Source organism: Homo sapiens, chromosome 5 (genome assembly GCF_000001405.40).
Source record: "Homo sapiens chromosome 5, GRCh38.p14 Primary Assembly".
In the NCBI taxonomy this organism is placed as follows: domain Eukaryota; kingdom Metazoa; phylum Chordata; class Mammalia; order Primates; family Hominidae; genus Homo; species Homo sapiens.
In genome coordinates, this window is record NC_000005.10 from 167,143,528 (window position 1) to 167,163,967 (window position 20,440).

The window sequence follows — 20,440 nt, forward strand, 5'->3', positions numbered from 1 at the left end:
ACTTCTTTTGGTTTCTTAACAGTAAACTCTTTCTTGTATGAATATTCACTGAGAGGGGAAAAAGCATGAAGTGGTTGCTAGTAGCAGATTTTGAGTAGGCCTTAACCACTGAGTTGAAGTCTGGAGACTTGCTGACATTTTGCAAATAGTTTTTAGAACAAAATGTCAGATGATGGGAGCTTTACATCATGCAAGAGTAACTTGTGCAGCTGATGCTAACTAAGCCGATTCTTACAAAGCCGTGCAAGGATGGATGACCACTGCGCTTTTAAAAGAACTAATTATATCCACATATATATGCAACACTTCACATTTCGCACTTGCTTTGCTTTGCCTGGCTTATATACGAGATGCAGTTGACTGGCACTTTTACCAACCAATCAAATGCTGGCAAACTGGCGTTATTTTTAAAAAGAGCCATTGGTGATGAGACGTCATTACATATGCAAACTTTGGACCAATGGCATGACCGCCCTTCTGTGATCGCTCATCAAGGCAGCTGTGCTGTATTCACATTGAAATGAGGGGGTTTTTTAAACCCAAGCAGCTGTATTATTCATACTTAAAATAAAAGCTTAGTTTCCCCAAACGGGTGTGACGTAAACATCTCATTAAATATTTTTAATTTTGAAAAAAAAAAATTGTTAAATGGCAAAGAGTACGCTGGTGGTGGGAGCGGTTCGCATTTGTGTGCAAGATTATAGGAGGCTGTCTTTACACTTCAGCTGCATGGGATTGTACTCTTCTGACAATCACGGATCTGAGGAGGAAAGCTCTGTGCCACAGGTGGCAATGAATTCAGAAACGTGGGGTGCACACTCTAGCTGTTATATCACTTCTAATTAAGCGGGCAGTTGTCTCAGAAGGAAGCCCCGGTGCTTTGTTCTGGCCCCCGTTTGTTTTCTTAAGTTAAATTTCTCTAATTTTCAAAAGCTAAGCCCAGAGAGGGTTAAATAAATCTTTTGCCTTTAATTTTTTTTTCTTTGGTCTTTCCTCAATTCATTGTGTAGTGTGATGTGATGGTCACGTTTTGCCCAACACTTGACACTCCCAAGAGGGTGGCTTAACTTCCCATAGAACAAGAAAGCGGCAGGATCCATTAGGACCTCATCTATTTCCTCTTCCTTTTGGAGAATATTGCTTGTTAGCCCGTGCCCATTCACTCATAAGCTGTTAATTAAATAAAGATGGCAGAGTTGACTTTTGCCTCTTAATGCAAGAGCTGTCCGTGTGCTGTGACATTAGCTAAGAAAGCATTGCTTTAGTGTATGCTTTAGTTTCCTGTTGTTGCTGTAACAAGCAGTGAATTAAGACACAAATGTATTCCTCTTATAGTTCTGGAGGTTACAAGTACAAGATGAGTCTATGGGGCTAAAATCAAAGTGTTGACGTGGCTTTTTCCTCCATGGAAAATTTTAGGGAGAATCCTTTCCTTGTCCTTTATTTCCTTGTCCTTATTATTGCAGTGGCTGCAGGCATTCCTCGGCCCATGTGACATCCGTCCAATCTCCGCTTTTGCCACATCACCTTCCATTCTCTAGTCAAATTTCCCTCTGCCTCTCTCCTAAGTACCCTTGTGATACTGAGCACACCTGAATACTCCGTAATAATCTCCTCAAGATCCTTCATTTATTCACAGCTGCAAAATCCCTTTTACCATGTAAGGTAACGTAGTCGCAGTCTTGGGGATTTGGACACGGACATCTTTGGGAGGCTATTACTCAATCAGCGCAGAGTATATGCTTTGGAGGAAGATGGATCTGGAGTTAAATTCTAACTTTGCCAGTTATCAGCCACATATCCTTGGGAAAGTTATTAACCCTCTCAGTTTCTCACCCATAAAACGAGATGCCACTACCAGCTTCACAGATAATGTATGAAAAGCAACAGGCTTTGCAAAGCAGGTGTTCCACAAATTTAATCCCACCCAACCTTCGAGAAGTAAAGGTAGAAGGAACAGAACATACCACACATCTGACTGGACCAAGTTACTGGTCAATAGAAATGGCTAGTCTTTTATTTCTTTTTCTTCCTTCAGTGGATTTCACAGTTAGGGAAGTATTGATGCACACGGGGAATTTAGGACATTCTCATATTATTAATGTTATTATGAACTGGGGCATTTTCTCGTTGCAGCGCCCCATATTAGGTCACATATACAAATGATTTTTGACAGATCCTTCCGCTGCCCGGCTGTCTTGTGTCATACAATGCCAATGGGACTGAAAATCCTACGACTGATTCTGCCCCTTGTTGAGAACGATAGCAGTTTGAATTTGATTTGTCCATCTTCTGGGATGATAGTCCATGTTCCCCTTCAGCACCGCTGAATAGACAATGGGCACCACTTGTATTCTTTACAGCTCGTTCACCTATTATGATGATGATGTCATTATTCACATTATTGCTCTCATTATTATTATTATCATTACCCGGTGACCTCTGTCCTGGGGTGGAACTCCCCGTGACAGATGGGAGCTTCGTTTATCGGACTGCTTTATGCTGCACAATTCCCCTGCCATTCTGAGTTTATATTGAGACGGGCTGCTTTTGGAACAAAGGCAGCCTGATCACAATTTGTCAGTGTACTTGGTAGCTATATATCACCAAAGCTCTCTGCCAGTCCTTCTGGGACCCAATTATTTATGGAGCTGACAATATGGGCTAACTTGTCTTGTTATGAATGCCACTATTACAATAAAAACCTTGCTATCGTGAATGGCAAGTCAACAGGCGTTCTGGTTGGTCAGAAATTTCATTAACTAAGAGTTAATTCACATTGCCCCGGGTGATCGCTTGATGCCCCAGGTGAGTTGATGAGATCCCTGGGGAAAGTTCTATTTCAATATTCTTTTCTGTCCAGACTTGGGAAATCTGTTGATAACTTTAGTTTCTGTGGCTTCTGTGTAACGCAGGTTCGGTTCTTAACGGTTAAGAAACAGTGTTCATTCTGAGCCTGCTATCGACAGAGGAGTTTACCAAGTACTCTGCGGAGTGGAAATGAAATGAAAGACTTGACCTCTCCCTATAAAGTGCTTATAATTGAATGAGGGGAACGATCCAACTCAAATCTATACTTACCAACTCAGATGATGGAGAAATAAATATCAACAGAGTCCAGCTTGACTGCCTTGAGCCTGAAAACGGACTCGAATCCCATTCCGGGGAAGTAACTCCTTTATTCTCCGATATTCTTCACTAGCCCTTATGTCACACTGATTTTAAATCCAATCCCTCATCTCTGCTTTTAAGACACCTCAGAAGAACACTGAAAAGAAAGGAAACTAATTAGACCTAAAATAAATTTTCTTGGGGGAATATATGTCCCACACTTGGAGATGAATTAAAAAAAATGAAACAATCATGATTTTATAGAAAATATAGAGTATTATTTTTAGGACACTAGATGGTACATTTGTGACATCAGAAGGAATGGAGGAACACATTCGCAGTGATAGAACGTTTGAATTTGAATTCTCTGGCATACTGATTGGCAGGGTCTAAGTACAACATCTGTAGTACAAATATAGAGCATATTTACAGACACACCTTTTTCCTAAAGCATGTGCTTTAGTTGTACACAGAATTATTTTTGTCCCTTTTTCTTTTATTAAAATAGTCTTTGAACTAGGCATAGTGCTTAAAAGATTAGATCGTATAGGGAAACATAACATATTGTATTTAAATATGCTAATCTCTTAGAGGAAATGAAGGATCTGAGCCTGCTCATTAAGAAATAAATTAATTCATCACCATTGCATTCATCATCAATCATCATCCAGTTGTGTCCAGTTTTCAATTAAGTTTTTCCAAACTGCTTTGTGCCTTTACCAAAAGGACTGATTATCTCTGATGATGATTTTTTGTGGGTATTCGGATGTTGATGGCAGTTGAATTGGCATAAACATGCTGAATGTCTTTTTTATTCAAGTAGTTAAGCAGTAGCAGCTCAGTGCATACAAATACATTATGATGACAAGTTAAAAAATTCTTATTTTTTAAGATGTATATAGGTGGCCAAATACCCACCTTTCAGATTGACAGGGAATATTTCATATGTTCACACCTAAAACCAATGCAAACATTGAATGTTTATTATATATACATTGTTCTTTCATCCATGAATCACTCACTGAGCCAGTATTTAGGAAACACCCGTAAGTTTCTGGTATTGTACTAGGTGCTAAATGTACATCAATAAATGCAATTGACATTATTCCTACCTTGATGGAGCATCTAGTCTAGATGCTAGACAATGCATTATTAATTTTAATGACTATACACCCTCAACCTGGTTTTTTTCTCAGGATAAACACCAAAAGTCATGATTACTTTACCAATGACCCTGTAGGTATAGCCAAGCCTCCTTATTCTTGGAGTTAATGAACATTCCATGCTAGAGGAGAACGATTTCTGACTATCTCTTTAAGGTTTCCATGCAGAATGAGGATGTATGAAAATGACTCACCATGCCTGCCACTTATCTCTAGATTCCTATAACATGAAGATGATCACAATCTGCCATCGTGCTGTTAAAATGATGCATAACCCAACCAGCACTCTGAAATGATCGAGTATTATTGCAGCCTCTTACAAGTTGGGCACTGAGATAATTTGGCTAGTGTTGGAGAAAGAATGTTCCACAACCCCTGTGGCTCACCCTGCATTGAATAAATATGGCATGCTGCTGCTTTTGTTCTCCTTGTGTATGAAAGAGCAATTAATGTGTCAAAAAAGAAAAATCACAAAATGTGCATACTTTTTCCCCTATGAAAATTGCAGGACTATGTTCAGTCTGCCTTAAAATTATTGTAAAACATTACAGGATGTTGTTATTTTTGAAATATTAGATAACTTGAGGTTGACATTACATTTCTTTTGGTGACTTCATGATTTCTGTGTCCATTAACAATCCTATAGTGAGTTTATATATTTCTTTATAAATGCCATTGGGCTACCAATGTTTACATAGACATCCAGGTATATATTTTCTTTACTTAAATAGTTGAAATGAAATATTTTTTAAATGCAAACATCTGTAGTTTTTAGTTAAGAGAAAGAACCACGCATAGGGCCAGCCTGCTACAATTCTTGCTTTCTAGTCCATTATTTTCCTGATATTCAGGTGCCTTCTTAGAAAGACTCATGAAATCGTGGTAAAAAGGGATTCCAATATTGGTTTCCTCCTGCTAGTATTTGGAGGGAGGAAAGGGGAAAAAAGGAGTTCAAAGTTTTTCTTTGTCCATTTTGTCTGCTAATGTAGCCCAAGCAACTCAATTAATTCAATATTCTGGACCATAGTATGTGCTCAATATATGTGTGTGATTTGAATGAATAAATGAATTTATCCTCTTAATAATAAAATTTATTACCAGGAGCTCAAGAAGAGTGGTAGGCTTGTGAGTATCTTGACAAATACTAAGTTAGTCAGTTAATTTTTCTTTATAAGTTATATTAGGATGACTTTTAAATTTTAAAAAGAAAAAATGAATATTTTCTTTTTTTTATACTTTAAGTTTTAGGGTACATGTGCACAAGGTGCAGGTTAGTTACATATGTATACATGTGCCATGTTGGTGTGCTGCACCCATTAACTCGTTATTTAACATTAGGTATATATCCTAATGCTATCCCTCCCCCCTCCACCCACCCTAATATTTTCATTTAAGGCTGTTGAATTATATGTTTGCTTTTTTTCTCCCCTGATAGATTGCAACCTCCCAGAGGCCTGTCCTGTTCACTTATGTATCCAGTGCCCAGGATAATCTGGCATGAATTACTTCTTCAGTTGTTATTTATCTAGTGGATTTTCCAGCCAGCAAAATGATCTGGGGTGTATCTGGAAAATGCACACATTAACAAATATTAGATAGCGAGTGTGCCTCTACATAATATTATGTGGAATATTTTAAAGAAGATTACATTCCTGAAATCTTGAACAGATACACAGAGTATAGACCGGGATGGTGTGGCCCATTCTTCTTTCTGTGCTCTGATCTTCCTAAACTCTCTCTCCATCTTTTAATACTCTAGCAACACAGACCTGATTCCCAGGGTCCAGCACAGATCACATGGCCTCTCCGTGCCATATTTGTCAGGTTTCTTCTCTGGGAATAACCTGTGCTGCTCTTCCTGATCCATTTTCTCCTGTTCTAGCTGTTTCTACTTATTTTTGAAGACTCAACTCAATCAATTCCTCTTTCAGAAAATCTTCCTTATCTCTCCTTCCAACGCTTCCCAGACTGCAGCATCCTCATTTTTCTTCCATCTGTGATTATCTTTGTCCTAATTGCATTGACTATGATGATCTGCTTGTATGCTATTCTCTTCCACTAGGCTTGTGAGTATCTTGAGGACAAGGATTATTTTATTCACTGCCATATCCTCAGTGCTTGAAGGAGGGCATGGCACAAAGTGAAGGGAAGGAGAGGAAGGATGGATGAAAGAATGAAAAGATAAAAGGAAGGAAGGAAGGACAGGACAAGGAAAACACCCAGAGAAAACTCTTTAATGACTATTATAAAGTAAATAGTCTCCACTGGAGAATACACCATAAGTTAGAAAAGGGAGGGGAAAATACAGGGTTTTAAAAAGTTACTGTGGGCCTGTGAGTCTTGATCTGTATAAAAGACACCATCCACTTTCTTCTGCTTACTCTATGGCCTACTCATTTCTCATCCTGTCTATTCCCCCTTTCCTTTCAGCAACCATCATCATAAAACTTTGATGTATTTTAAAGGCCATTTAAATGGTTGAACTAGTGGTGAAATTTAATTTCTGCTTCTATTATATTAAGATTGTTACAAGCTTGTTTCCGTTAGTCCAGGAAAAAAATTATTATGGGCAAATAAAAGAATTTTTGTTATGTGAGGAGCTTAAATATTCAAGCTTGGGGTCAAGTAAATTTAATGAGTGTATTATTTTGATTTCAAAACACATATTAAGGGTGAGAACAGTGTTCTTGTCCTAGAATTGAGTGTTTATGAATTGACTTTTTCAAGATGTCATAATAATAGCTAACACTCACATAGTGCTTACTATGCCAGCAACTATTCTAAATGCTTTATTCATTTACTTCTCACAACAACCAACTAATCAATTATTTGTCTTTTATAATTGAGGAAACTAACATACATAGAGGTTAATGTGTCCAAGGTTCTACATCTTATATGAAGCTTAGTTGAAATTCTAACCCACATAGTTTAGATTCAAGGCTAATCCTGTAAAACCTCTCACAAGATTTCAACCTAGAGCCTGGATAACACAAAAGCTCATTCAATGTAATGACTGCAGCAAGCACAATTATGTTCAATATAATAAGCCAATATCTTATGATTACAATTTCACTTTCAAGAAAATGATGGAGTGAGCTTGGCCATTTAAGTACATTATTTAATGTAATCATCACAACAATCTTATGAGATTGGTGATAATTTTTTCCAAAACTCACTTCACAAGAACTCAGGGTATGTCTGGTGGTTGAGTCAGGACTACAAACAGATATCTTTCAAGCCTCTCCTGGCTTTTCTCAGTAAATCTGTGAATTTAACATGTATTTTATTAAACCTCTCCTCCAGTCGAGATTATTAAACATTGCCAAATCTTTTATTCTTAGAAAGCAGATTGGGAGGACAGACTAATAAAGGGGATCTTGGGGATCCCTGCCAAGTGGAGATCAATTAAAAAGGAAAAACAGTGGAATTGATGGCATTTCTAAAACATTATTATTTTTTTCAATGGGGAAAGTTTTATGAACATGCCAACATTTAGCAAGGTGCCCATTGAGTACCATGAGACATACCAAGAGAGAAATCACTAGCTGGCCATGGAGTGCTCTCCAACATTTCACTTTTCTGACTTCTGAGCATAGTTCAAAGGAAGTAGAGAAGTGTTTCTTCTAAAGCTGCTACCTAATGACTACGTTACAACTACGTGTGAGAAACGCAAAAACCTAAATATTTACAGCTAAAAAGCAAATGCTTTTCTTCTTCTTTTTTTTGTTTTCTTTTTTAGACGGAGTCTTTCTCTGTCACCAGGCTGGAGTGCAGTGGTGCAGTCTCGGCTCACTGCAAGTTCCACCTCCCGGGTTCATGCCATTCTCCTGCCTCAGCCTCCTGAGTAGCTGGGACTACAGGCACCCGCCACCCTGCCTGGCTAACTTTTGTATTTTTAGTAGAGATGGGGTTTCACCATGTTGGCCACGACGGTCTTGATCTCTTGACCTTGTGATCCACCCGCCTCGGCCTCCCAAAATGGTGGAACTATAGGCGTGAGCCACCGCGCCTGGCCTGCTTTTCTTCTTAAAAATGTACCTTAAACCCTTTGGTAATGTGCAGTTTTCCATGCTGTGGGAGGTCAATAAATCCCTGTTGACTCTCTTCACATTCAGCAGCTCCAAGTCGAAAGGAAAGACACCATATCCATCCAGGCATTGCACACACTACGGCTTTTTCACATGCTCCATTTAGATGCCTAGTAGTTAAGCCAGTGTGGTATGTGGGGCCCAGTTTTGAACCACTGATGGATGCTCTTGTATACAAAATTTGCCACTTTTTTGTCAGAGAAATAATCACATTGGAAAAGACAAGACACTAGGCATGCTTTCAAGCTGTTCTGATTTCTCGTATGTATTTATGAACCACACATTGTATTTTCTTTTTCTTCACAAGGAAACTTACATGGTATGAAGCAGAAATTTTATTATGAAGCTTATTCACATTTACAATCTGAAGAAGACTGGAAAGCCGCATACCTGCACTTAGAATATCATTATAATGATCATCTCATGCACATACGTGGTTCAAATCTGCTTGTGAAATCATCTTGAGATTTATTATATGAAAGACTTTATTTAACAGTAACGTGAAAGCTAGTAGGAGGAAAATATTATTTTCTCTCAAACTGGGAATTAAATTTCAACATTCGGTTTTATGGGTCCAAAATGGAGGTATAGTTTTAAAATAGTTCTACAATTTCTTAGCTGTTATATAGTGTTAAACCTGAAGGGATCCTCTTACCTGTAGTCCAGGATAAATAGATGTATATTTGGCATTTCTAGATACAGTAGTTCCTTCTTATTCCTGGGGGATATATTCCAAGACTCCCAGTTGATACTTGAAACCTCGGATAGTGCTGAACCCTTGAAAGTGTTGAAAGTGGCTTTCAACCTCATAATGGAGGCAGCTCCTAAGTGACTAATGTGCAGGTAGTGTATAAAGTGTGGATTCGCTGGACAAGAGGATGACTCACCTCTAGGGCAGGACAGAGCAGGACAGCAGGAGATTCTATCAGAATACTCAGAATAGTGCTCACTTTGATACTTCTACATTGTTTATTTCTGGAATTTTTCACGTAGTATTTTTGGACCACAATTGACCATGGGTAACTGAAAGCATGGGAAGTAGAACCTCAGATAAGGGGGACATTACTGTGTATTCAAATAAGTCCTGAAGTAATATGTCCTGGTTACTGGAGATTAGCTTGCCCACCCTTAAGAATATTTGGTGACTTATACTACTTTGAGGTTTTATTTATTTTTGCCTGAACTGGCCATCACAATCAATGAATACATACACACACACACACACACACACAGATACACATAGCTGACCCCTGAACAGTGCAGGGGTTAGGAGCACTGACCTCCTACACAAGTGAAAATCCCCACATACCTTTTGACTCCCCCCAAACTTAACTACTCATTGCCTGTTGTGAACCAGAAACCTTACCGAGAACGTAAGCAGTTGATTAACACGTATTTCATGTTATATATATTATATACTGTATTCTTACTATAAAGTAAAGTAAGCTAGGGAAAAAAGTTATTAAGAATTATAAGGAAGAGAAAATATATTTAGTGTTTATTAAATGGAAGTGGATGATCATAAATGTCTTCATCCTCGTCATCTTCAAACGTTGAGTAGACTCAGGAGGAGAAGGAAGATGAGGGGTTCGTCTTGCTGTCTCAGGGGTGGAAGAGGGGGAGGAGGTGGAAGGGGAGACACGAGAGGGCAGGCACATTCAGTGTCATTTTCATTGAAAAATAATTCCCCGTATAAGTGGACCTGTGCAGTTCAAATCTGTGTTGTTCAAGGGTCAACTCTCTCTATATATTTCCTTTAGCTGTGATATGGCTTTAAATATATATATATATATACACACACACACACATATATCCAGATCATTTGGCTTTAAGAAATAAGATGGAAGTCTTTCTGGTGTTTATTAAATAATTACATAAATATTTAACCTTCCCAGTTAATAAAAAAACTGAAAAAAACAAAAAACAAACAGAAAAACCTTTGTCACAATTAATGTAATTATCAGATAGGTCAGAAACTCATTACATTTTCTAATATTCATTTTTCCATTTGAAATCTGTTTCTATCTTTGTTAACAATATCTCCAAATTATATTTCTGCTACTGCTGTAGAAGCTGTAACAAATTCAGTCCTATGTGAAATCAATAAAAGCTGCTTTCAGTTTGGTGAAATACAAGGGCAAGGTCTCTTTGTGCTTGAAATGAGACTGAAGGATGATTTTCTTCTGGAGATTAATATTTTTGTTTATATTGTCCAGACCAGAAACAGCCTACCAATAATCAATTGTTCTAAAGCTAAATGATAAAGACTACAAATTGGTCTGTTCTTGTGTATATGTATTGAAGAATAGTGCCTTTCTTTTGTATGAAAATTGCATTTGTTGAAGTGATTTAACCAATAACAGATTTAGTTTGGAACATGTATTTTAAAACTTGCAAGCATTTTTCATGGGCTGAAAATATTTATACTTTTATCGTTTACTGGCAGGTCATGAGCCACACAGGTATTTATAGAATTGACAACACTTCTACATTGCCTTGTTGAGTTATGCAAACTTGGCATGAATCTGGGCATGTGAATGATAGAAATAGAGTCAAAACACAAAGATTTCCAGATTTTCCATTACTGCAAAATACATTTTTTTAAATTAAAATGAAACATCGTTGGGACATTATCTCAACTGATAGTGAATAAAAATTCTTCACTCTGATAAATCGAGGACAGATGACATGATGTTTTTCAAAAACAATAGAAGACAAACTGAAATTGGGAATTTTCCATAGGTTTAAAATGCCTGCAAATGCAAATCTACAATCATGTTCAATCTAGGCCTGTATTCTCTTTTTTCCATTGTTCATTTACTAAATGTGTGACCTTGTGTAAGTGACTCGACTTCTCCGTTCCCGAATTGCCTTATTTTTCCTGAATTTAAAAAATGGGAAAAATTAGAAGCTAATTTTATATTTGCCCTTAGGGAAAAGTGAAGTACTACATATAAAGTAATTAGCAGAGTGTTGGGCACATAGAAAGTACTCAATAGACATAAGCTACTTTTATTAATTATTCCAATGCTGTTCCCCTTATAAAAGCATAAAAGTCGTACATATTGCCTTGTAATCTTTCTTTCATGGTTTCTTATTGTATGAGCCTAATTACATCATAACTACCTTGATGGTAAAGTTTTGTCATATTCTTCTTTGATATTGCTGATGAATTGGTAAAGACAAAATTCGTTGTGTAATGGGGCAAGTTTTGTGTATCCAACATTACATTAAGGATTCACCAACATGTATACTGATTTTGCTGTGTCATAAGGCGCAGTGTAGAGGATGAAACAAACAAAAAAGAGTTCACGTATTCGGCAACCTGCCGTATTGTGGCATGTTAAGATATCATTATGCTTTATGGAGCAGAATTTTCCAAGCTGTGTTCTATGGGATCCTGTGTCCCAAAAATATTAACAAGCCTCCACTCCACTCCCCGCCAAAAAATTCTATGGTCAAATAATATTGAGAAACCTATATTAAACCTATGTCAGGCTCCTGTGATTCAAGAATCTCCCAAACCTTTAAATGCACTAGTGTGCGTTGAGATAATTCAAGAAGGGGAGGTCACAGTTTTTAAACTTGCCCCTGAACCCTTTTTAGCAGGGATCCTGTAGAGCATCTTGTGCTCGATGTAGCGAACAGCAGGACTTGGGTAGTGCTGCTCTAAGTCTGTGACCGCGACTAGAGGCGCGATATTGGGCTTCACTCGTGATTCATGCCATAGAGCCGTGGCGTAGTGTTCCGCGCTAGGAGCTAGGAGGTTTCCCCAATTAAGTACTGAAAACTGAGAAGGATTTACACAAAATGAAATAAAATCAAACCAACTCAAGAATGCCCCTCTAAGTCTGTCACTGCCATTCATTTGCATTTCAGTACATTCACTCTGCAAGTGAAAAGCAGGAAGCAACGTGAAACTGACAAGGATTTGCTGCACATGTGCGGTCACGCAGCGTGTGTGGAAAATGGCAATAGGTTTGAGCAGCGCTGGGCTTCTCAGGCGCGCTCTCTTCTTCTAAACGATTCCCTGGGTCCTGTATTTCAGTAACTGCTTCTGTTGTCACTCTTGAGCGTGTCTGGGTACAGCTATAGCAAAGCATTTTAATTTTATGACTTTCAGATGTCTTGTTAGTGGGCAAATGAAGTGGTAGGACAAGTGGGTTTTGTCTAGTTGCTAAGGAATAAAAATAACAAGTGCCTTTATTACTTTGCTGACAATCTATTTATAAATTTCTGGAGGGGATGCCTACAGAGGAAAATGTGGATGTGTTTTGGACATACCTGAGAATTCTCAAGTAAAATCGTGTAGTGATAGACCCTGCTTTACGAGACTTTGGTAGGGTGCACAACTATTGCTCCTATATGTAAGATAAGTTTCAGGCTTGGTTCTTTGATGGTCATGATACAAATGACATTTGGCAAAGGCTGTTTGCTCATCTCCTCTTTCGCCTTACTTATACTAAATTGCACAGGAGATTTCCAGATATTGTAGTGCTATCACCTTAACCACACAGGATGGTAAAAGTGGCATTTAAAAATACGTATTTGCCTCAACCAGTGGTAATCTGTAATGGGAATGACCCCTTAAAGTTTCCCTGTGAAAGCTGGGAAAGTTTTCTTTGTCATTGCTCCTGAGGAGCTCTGCTTCATCTCCAAGTCGGAGAGCAGCTCTTCAGTGACCAGCACATCCAAACCTTTGAAGCCCTTGCCAGCAGTTGGGCCCTCGTGCTGCTGTGAATGGCATTGGGATAGAAAAGCATAGTAGGTACTGGCATGTGAATGAACCATTCCGGCCAGGCTGCCCTCACACCGCACACTGAGAAACTCAAAGAGGGCAAAATGCACTCTCCTGGGTACACACTTGGCCCTCTCAAGCGCTTTCCCAGAATAAAATGACAATTTAAAAACTTGCCCAGACTACCAGAAGTTTGAGTCCAAGTGGCTCGTCTTGGCACCGCTTGTTTCTGAAATATCGACATGTTCATTAAGTTATATTCTAAGGGAGTCTAATACCAAGGGAGAGAAGAAGTGGTAAAACAGGGTGACCTGTTGTTTACATAATACTGTGGTATTTCCAACTTCTGCAAACCCACATTTTTTTTAATTTTTATGAACCAAGCATTCGCATTTATTTTCATGCAGGTGTGCTTCATAATATCCCAGCATTTTGAGTTTAAAAAGCAGTTTTGTAGACTCTCACACCATTGATGCTGTGGTAATTTGGCAATCTGTTACAGTAGGAAAAATATCTTATATAGTAGCCCCATTAGTTCCTTCTACCTTGTACAAAGAATGCCTTCCATCCTGTTACTGTTCTTCAGCGTTTGTGTTTCAAAAGGCCCCTCCTTGATGAAGATGAAAAAATACCACACAGCTCCAAGACAGGGCAAATCAAAGTGAAATGAAGGTGGTTTGTTCTTTGATAAGTGTTTATTGATAAGCCCCTCATTAGGGTGTGCCTGCTTCCTTCTGGCCAGGTAATAATGGTTTACATTTTTTAGTAGCTTACATAAATTTGACACTTTCTAATTTCTACCATATTATTAGATCATGAGGGGTATGGAAAGAATTTGTGCTCCAATAACCAAAGATGAGATGATAAAAGAACCTGGAAATTTTCCACAGGTGAAGGTCTCTTTTAGTCAGTAAGGACTTTTAGACGTGTAAGTTCCCTCCAGATGTCTGGGAAAAACACAGCTTAGGGAGGAAGATATTTTTATATCTATGTGAACACAAAAGGCCTGTAATTGTTAATTATTTATTGCCATATTAAAGCCCATCAACTACATGGTAGAATTGCTACTTAGAAATTAAAATAAAGGATTAAAAATTAAGTGTCCAGTGTGTTTTAGAGGCGAACTTTTTTATAATCCACGTTAAAAGTTTTATCAATAGGAATACTTTTTTGTTACTCATTTAATTTATCCTTTTGTCTTACAATTTGGAGATATGAGAGCAGCTAAGCAACATATAAATTAATTGAGCTCTGTAATGAAATAACAGTTTAATTAGTTATTTATAATGTACAATGAGAAAGAAGAGAAGAATTCAGCAGAAAACCTGACAGCATTTCTACTCTCGTTTTGGATTGTTTTCCTATGAGAGCACACATCAAGTCATTTTGTGAACCCCATGACATTTCTCTTTTTTTAACTTTGAAAATCTGTATCATGGCTTAGATTGATTTGATTTTACATTTTGACAAGTAAAATTATTATTTGTTTGCTCTTTCATTTCTTCTTCACTTTTTAATCATTTTATTTTAAAATAAAACACAGATATGGTACACTGAAAACACAGATATAGAACACAGAACACTGAATAAAACAAATGTGCAACTTATTAAGTTATTATGAAGCAGGCACCTTTGCAACTGCTACCAGATCAAGAAACAGGACTTGGCCAGCCCCTCACCACTCTTACTTAGAAGTTCCTTCCTATCTCCAACCCTTACCATTTCCCTAAAGTCACCACATTTTTATATCTTATATGATCTCTTTCTTGCTCTTCTTTATCACCCAGGACATATCCCTAGATCTCATGGTTTAGATTGGCCTGCTTGGGGTCTAGGTCTTTCTGTCATAGTCAGTTCAGGCTGCTGTCATAGATTGTGTGGCTTCAACGAAAAAGCATTATTTTTCACTGTTCTGGAGGCTGCTGAGAAGGCCACGGTGCCAGCTGATCTGGTGCAGTCTGGTAAGGACCTTTTTCCTAGTTTGCAAAAGGCCATCTTCTCCTTATATCTTCACATAATAGAGAGAGACAGAGAGGGAGAGCACATGTAAGCTCTCCTGTCTCCTTACAAGGATACAAATCTTACAAATCCCTCTATGAGGTCTCCACCATCATGATCTTATTATCTCCCAAAGTCCCCATTTCCAAGTACCATCCACTGGGACTAGGGTTTCAACATATGATTTCTAGGGAGAATACAAACATTCAGTCCATAGCAGCCCTTCCTTCCTTCCTTCCTTCCTTCCTTCCTTCCTTCCTTCCTTCCTTCCTTCCTTCCTTCCTCTTCCTCTCTCTCTCTCTCTCTCTCCTTCTTTCTTTCTTTCTTCTTTCTTTCTTTTTTTTTTTTGACAGAGTCTCACTCTGTCGCCCAGGCTGGAGTGCAGTGGCGTATCTCAGCTCACTGCCACCTCCGCCTCCTGGGTTCAAGAAATTCTACTGCCTCAGACTCCCAAGTAGCTGGGATTATAGGCAAGCATGGCTAATTTTTGTATTTTCAGTAGAGACTGGGTTTCATCATGTTGTCCAGGCTAGTCTGGAACTCCTGACCTCAGGTGATCTGCCCACCGAGGCCTCCCAAAGTGCTGGGATTACAGGCGTGAGCCACTGTGCCTGGCCCCATAGCAGTCTTTAAAGTCTCTTAGAATCTACAATTTCCCCCATATTCTTTTATTTCCATGCAATTTATTTGTTAAATAAATTGGGTAATTTTTTAAAGTTTTATTTTCACTTTTAAAAAAGGCAAAGTTAGACAGGAGGAATAAGTTCAAGAGATCTATTAGACAGCATGGTTACTATAGTTAATGACAAACATATTGTATTCCTGAAAAACGCAAGGAGAGTGAATAAGTGTTTTCACCACAGAAATAACCTTGTGAGGTAATGGACTTGAAAATTAGCTAGATTTAAGCATTTCACAATGTATATGTACTTCAAAGCATCATATTCTATATGATAAATACATACTATTTTATCTATCAGTTAAAAATTTTTATTTTAAATTTAAAAACATCATTTTAAAAAATAAAGGCAAAGTGTCCAAACAGCACAGGTGTTTTCTTTTTAGGAGGTGCTTTGTAATTTTTCATTTAGGTTCTGGCCCCGCCCACAAGAGAACCCCCACATTTCAGTTCTGTTTGGATAGACAAGCACACTTGAATCCAAGCATTGCCAATGATGGAATATGGAATTCATACAGAAAGACTGGTGGTGCCCGCTCCCACTTGTCATTGGAGATGACTGGTAGAGTAGAGAGGGCATTCTTTCTGCAATTATTTACAGTGTGGTCCACTTCACATACAAACAGTCCCAAGAGGTTACCATTCAGAAAGTGGGGTGAAATGTACAAGACTCAAAAGGTGGAAGTCAATCCAGACATATGGAAGTCTCTAGATAGTTGGGCTCTATGTCTCAGGAAAGAAATGGGAGCAGGGAGTTCTATTTTGGCATCTTTTCTGTACCAAGCTGTTTTCCAAGTTTTGACACTTTTCTACAGCCATGTGAGTTAAGAGTTAATAGCCCAGGTTTGCAGAAGAGGAATCTGAATCTGTTTCTTAACAAGAAATCACCTCCTCACTGGACTCCTGTTTCTGTGTACCACCCTGTGTTAACCTGAATCAGATAACGCCAAGCCAGCATCCTTTGCACTTAAAGTCCAGACTCCTTTGCGTGGATTCTGGTCCACAGGACGGAGGTCTGGCCGCTGCCAGTGTTGCTGCTTTCAATGGTCCCTACCACTCATGCCCCGCCTGCTGTGCTCCAGCCTCACTGGCCTTTTTGCTGCACCTCAGATACAAGCTCTTCCAACAAGATGAAGGAAGATATACCTTGGTAGTCTCTAAGATTCATATTTTCTCCTTTAAGGGAAGTCAGCATGCAAGACCGCTTTGGCGGCCTCTGCATTTGCTTTTTCCACTCTCTGGAATACTTCGCTGACACAATTTGCTTCGCTGGATCTTACATCTCTTTCAGGCCTCAGCTTAATTGTCACTTCCTCAGAGAACTTCCCTGCCCACTCAATCTACTTAGGCTTTTTCCTGTAATTATCTCCTCCACTTATTCTTTTTCCTCTCTGGCACTTATCAACACTCTAATTATACATGTATTTATTTAATGTCTATCTCTTCTACCTGACCCTGAATTACCTGAGGATGGGATGTGCCTGTTTTGTTTACTGCAATGTCCCTCATGCCCAGCTAACACAGAACCTAGAACACCAAGGAAGCTCAGTAAATATTGGTTGGAATGTAAAATTGGAATGAGGTTCAGAGAGGCTAGATAACTTGCCCAAAGTCACACAGCTTATAAGCATCAAAGCTGGGGATTTTAAAACACACCCTAAAACCCTTGTATTTTCAATATGAATTGGTTTTTCCAAACTGTGTTCCTTGAACACTAGTGTCCTGAGGAATCTTAATAATGTGTCAAGAATAAAAAGGTATGTGTGTTCAAATAAATTGTGGATATGATGCAACTGTTTGAAGAAGATTGAACATATTTCTTTCCTGCAGTACATCCCAGGGACTTTAATATGCAAATGTGCATTGTGACTCTCCAAAAAACTAATATGTTATGCAGCATTTCTCACCAGTGTTTGGCCATGATTTACTTTTTTTGCATGAAAATAATATTTTGTGGGACCACAGTATTCAGCAGAAGCCAAGATGGGAATCACTCGACTATACCCTGCTTCTCCCTAGGAAGTGGGGAAATAGAAATTTCTATCAGCAAATTAGGTCTAAATATCCTAGTATCTTTTAAAAGTTTTATGCTTTCTTCCCCGTTCTTCAACTATGAATGTGGGCCAGGGGAGGAAGGTAATGTCTTAAGAAAACAAGGTTAGAAAGCCGAAGTTAAAGAAAGTTAAACAGACTGTAATGTAAGTTATTGTGGAGAAGATATGAGAAGCATATATTTTTTAAAGTAACAGATTAGAAAATACAAACTAAATAAAGTTAAATTGTTAATAACTTAGAACTGCAAGCATTTTTTTTCCGCTTCAGTATGCATTAAAAATGACTGAGAATGGTCTTAAATGCTGACATCCCTTAATGGAGAAAGTATGAAATTACAAACTAACCAATGTAATCACACCTTAATCTTGTTAAATTGAAACACTGTAATCTACATTCAAATTTCACATATGGTCGATCTTGCAAGAGCTGGGTGGATGAGCCAATGCACTATTCAGAATTTTAAATAGGGAGTCGTTCATACCTCTCCAAAGTCCATTTACTTCTTTATGAAAAATATTTCCCTGGGACGCCGGGTGCAGTGGCTCACACCTGTAATCCCAGCACTTTGGGAGGCTGAGGCGGGCAGATCACAAGGTCAGGAGATCAACAACATCCTGGCCAACATGATGATACCTGTCTCTACTAAAAATACAAAAATTAGCCGGGTGTGGTGGCACGTACCTGTAGTCCCAGCTACTTGGGAGGCTGAGGCAGGAGAATCACTTGAACCCAGGAGGCAGAGGCTGCAGCAGCTGTGAGCTGAGATCACACCACTGCACTCCAGCCTGGGTGACAGAGCAAGACTCCGTCTCAAAAAAAAAAAAAACCAAAGACTGACTAAATACCTCTTCTCATGGAAGAACTTGAAATCTAAGATAGTGATCACTGATGGGTTATAGATAGTTTTGAGAATATGTTATATTCTCAAATACTCAAATATATGTTGGACTTCTAAGCATATATTCAAATATATGTTGAAACATAAAAGCCGGGCATGGTGGCTCAGGCCTGTAATCCTGGCACCTTGGAAGGCCGAGGTGGGCAGATCACTTGAGGTCAAGAGTTTGAGACCAACCTGGCCAACATGCTGAAACCCTGTCTCTACTAAAAATACAAAATTTAGCTGGGTGTGGAGGCACATGCCTGTAATCCCAGCTACTTGGGAGGCTGAGGCAGGAGAATTGCTTGAATCTGGGAGGCGGAGTTTGCAGTGAGCCGAGATGGCGCCACTGCACTGCAGCCTGGTGACAAAGCAAGACTGTATCTAAAAAAAAAAAACAACAAAAAACAAAAAAAAAACCTCCTTAGGACTGGGGAAAAAAGGCTTTAAGCCAAAACAATTTTTTTGTGTAATTGAAATAAAGAAAAGTTTATTTCCAGAACCCTGATACTCATGACCAATCCTACCAGAAAGAAAGCAGAGTGCATTTCAGAAAAATGCGTAACTATGTGAGAGGAAAATGGGTTTCAGCTTTTTCTTGCCAATGAATTATTTCAACCTGTTGAGAAACATGATTTTTAAGAACAGTAACTAAAGTGAAGCATTTTCATCCAATGCTGACTCAGTGTGCCTCTCAATTGAATGGGTAGAATGTGCTACAAATTCATTGTCTAGTCATGAAACATACATTTGGGAGCAGAGTTCCAACAGTAGAGATGCCCACTTTAGATTTGAATAATGGTAGCCCTTTGTTCAGAGGAACCACCAAATAAATGGCTTGTTCACCTCCTGTCTGGTAACCTCCTTTTTTATTCTTCAGAGGTGGGGGGTCTCACTCTGTCACTCAAGCTGGAATGCAGTGGTACAATTATAACCCGCTGCAGCCTCAAACTCCTGGGCTCCATTGGTCCTTTGCTTCAGCCTCCTGAATATCGGGGACTACAGGCACATGCCACCACGCCTGGCTTTTGTTGTGGTGACAGGGTCTTGTGATGTTGCTCAGGCTGGTCTTGAACTCCTGACTCAAGGGATCCTCCCGCCTCAGCCTCCCAAAATGCTGGGATTACAGGCGTGAGAGCGTGAGCCACTGCACCTAGCCAACCCTTCTAAATATGAATACACATTCTTCTCGGATACAGTGAGAAAATACTGGAAATATGCATGTTTTTAACAGATTAAAAAATATATATCCTGGAAAGAGAAAACTGGAGAATCTTAATGTTTATGATTTATCTGGACTTTGTTTATGAATTATCTGGACTTCTGTATCCTATCCTTTACACGCTGCTTTGCTCGGTTTTAACACTTTCACCAGGGACTTTAAATCAGTGCTGCTTTAAATCAGCTCTTCCATGGGGACTGCTGATTACGGTAACCACAGGCTCTGCTATGATGCTCTGACTACAACATTACAGGGAAGATTTGGCTATTTCATTCATTCCAGCAGGCTGTTGCTACCCAGCAAGTCCCTTGTCTCTGGAGTATTTTACTGTATCTATAATAAGAAAAAACAAAGGTATTTTGAAGGTTGCAATAGACACAGCCTCCATAGGCATAGTCCTCTGGAGACTTGGAGGGAAAGAAAGATGAGGCAAAGGTGCAGTCTCCAAATCCTCTGTGAACTGCATGCTCATATCAGAGCCCTCCATGAGCCTTCACCTACCAAGA

General features: G+C 38.9%; 1 protein-coding gene across 9 annotated transcripts in view; it reads left to right on the forward strand.

Annotated features, from left to right (window-relative positions):
* TENM2 (teneurin transmembrane protein 2) overlaps positions 1 to 20,440 on the forward strand; it is a 1,285,129-nt gene that overhangs the window by 164,499 nt on the left and 1,100,190 nt on the right. The window lies entirely within an intron of this gene.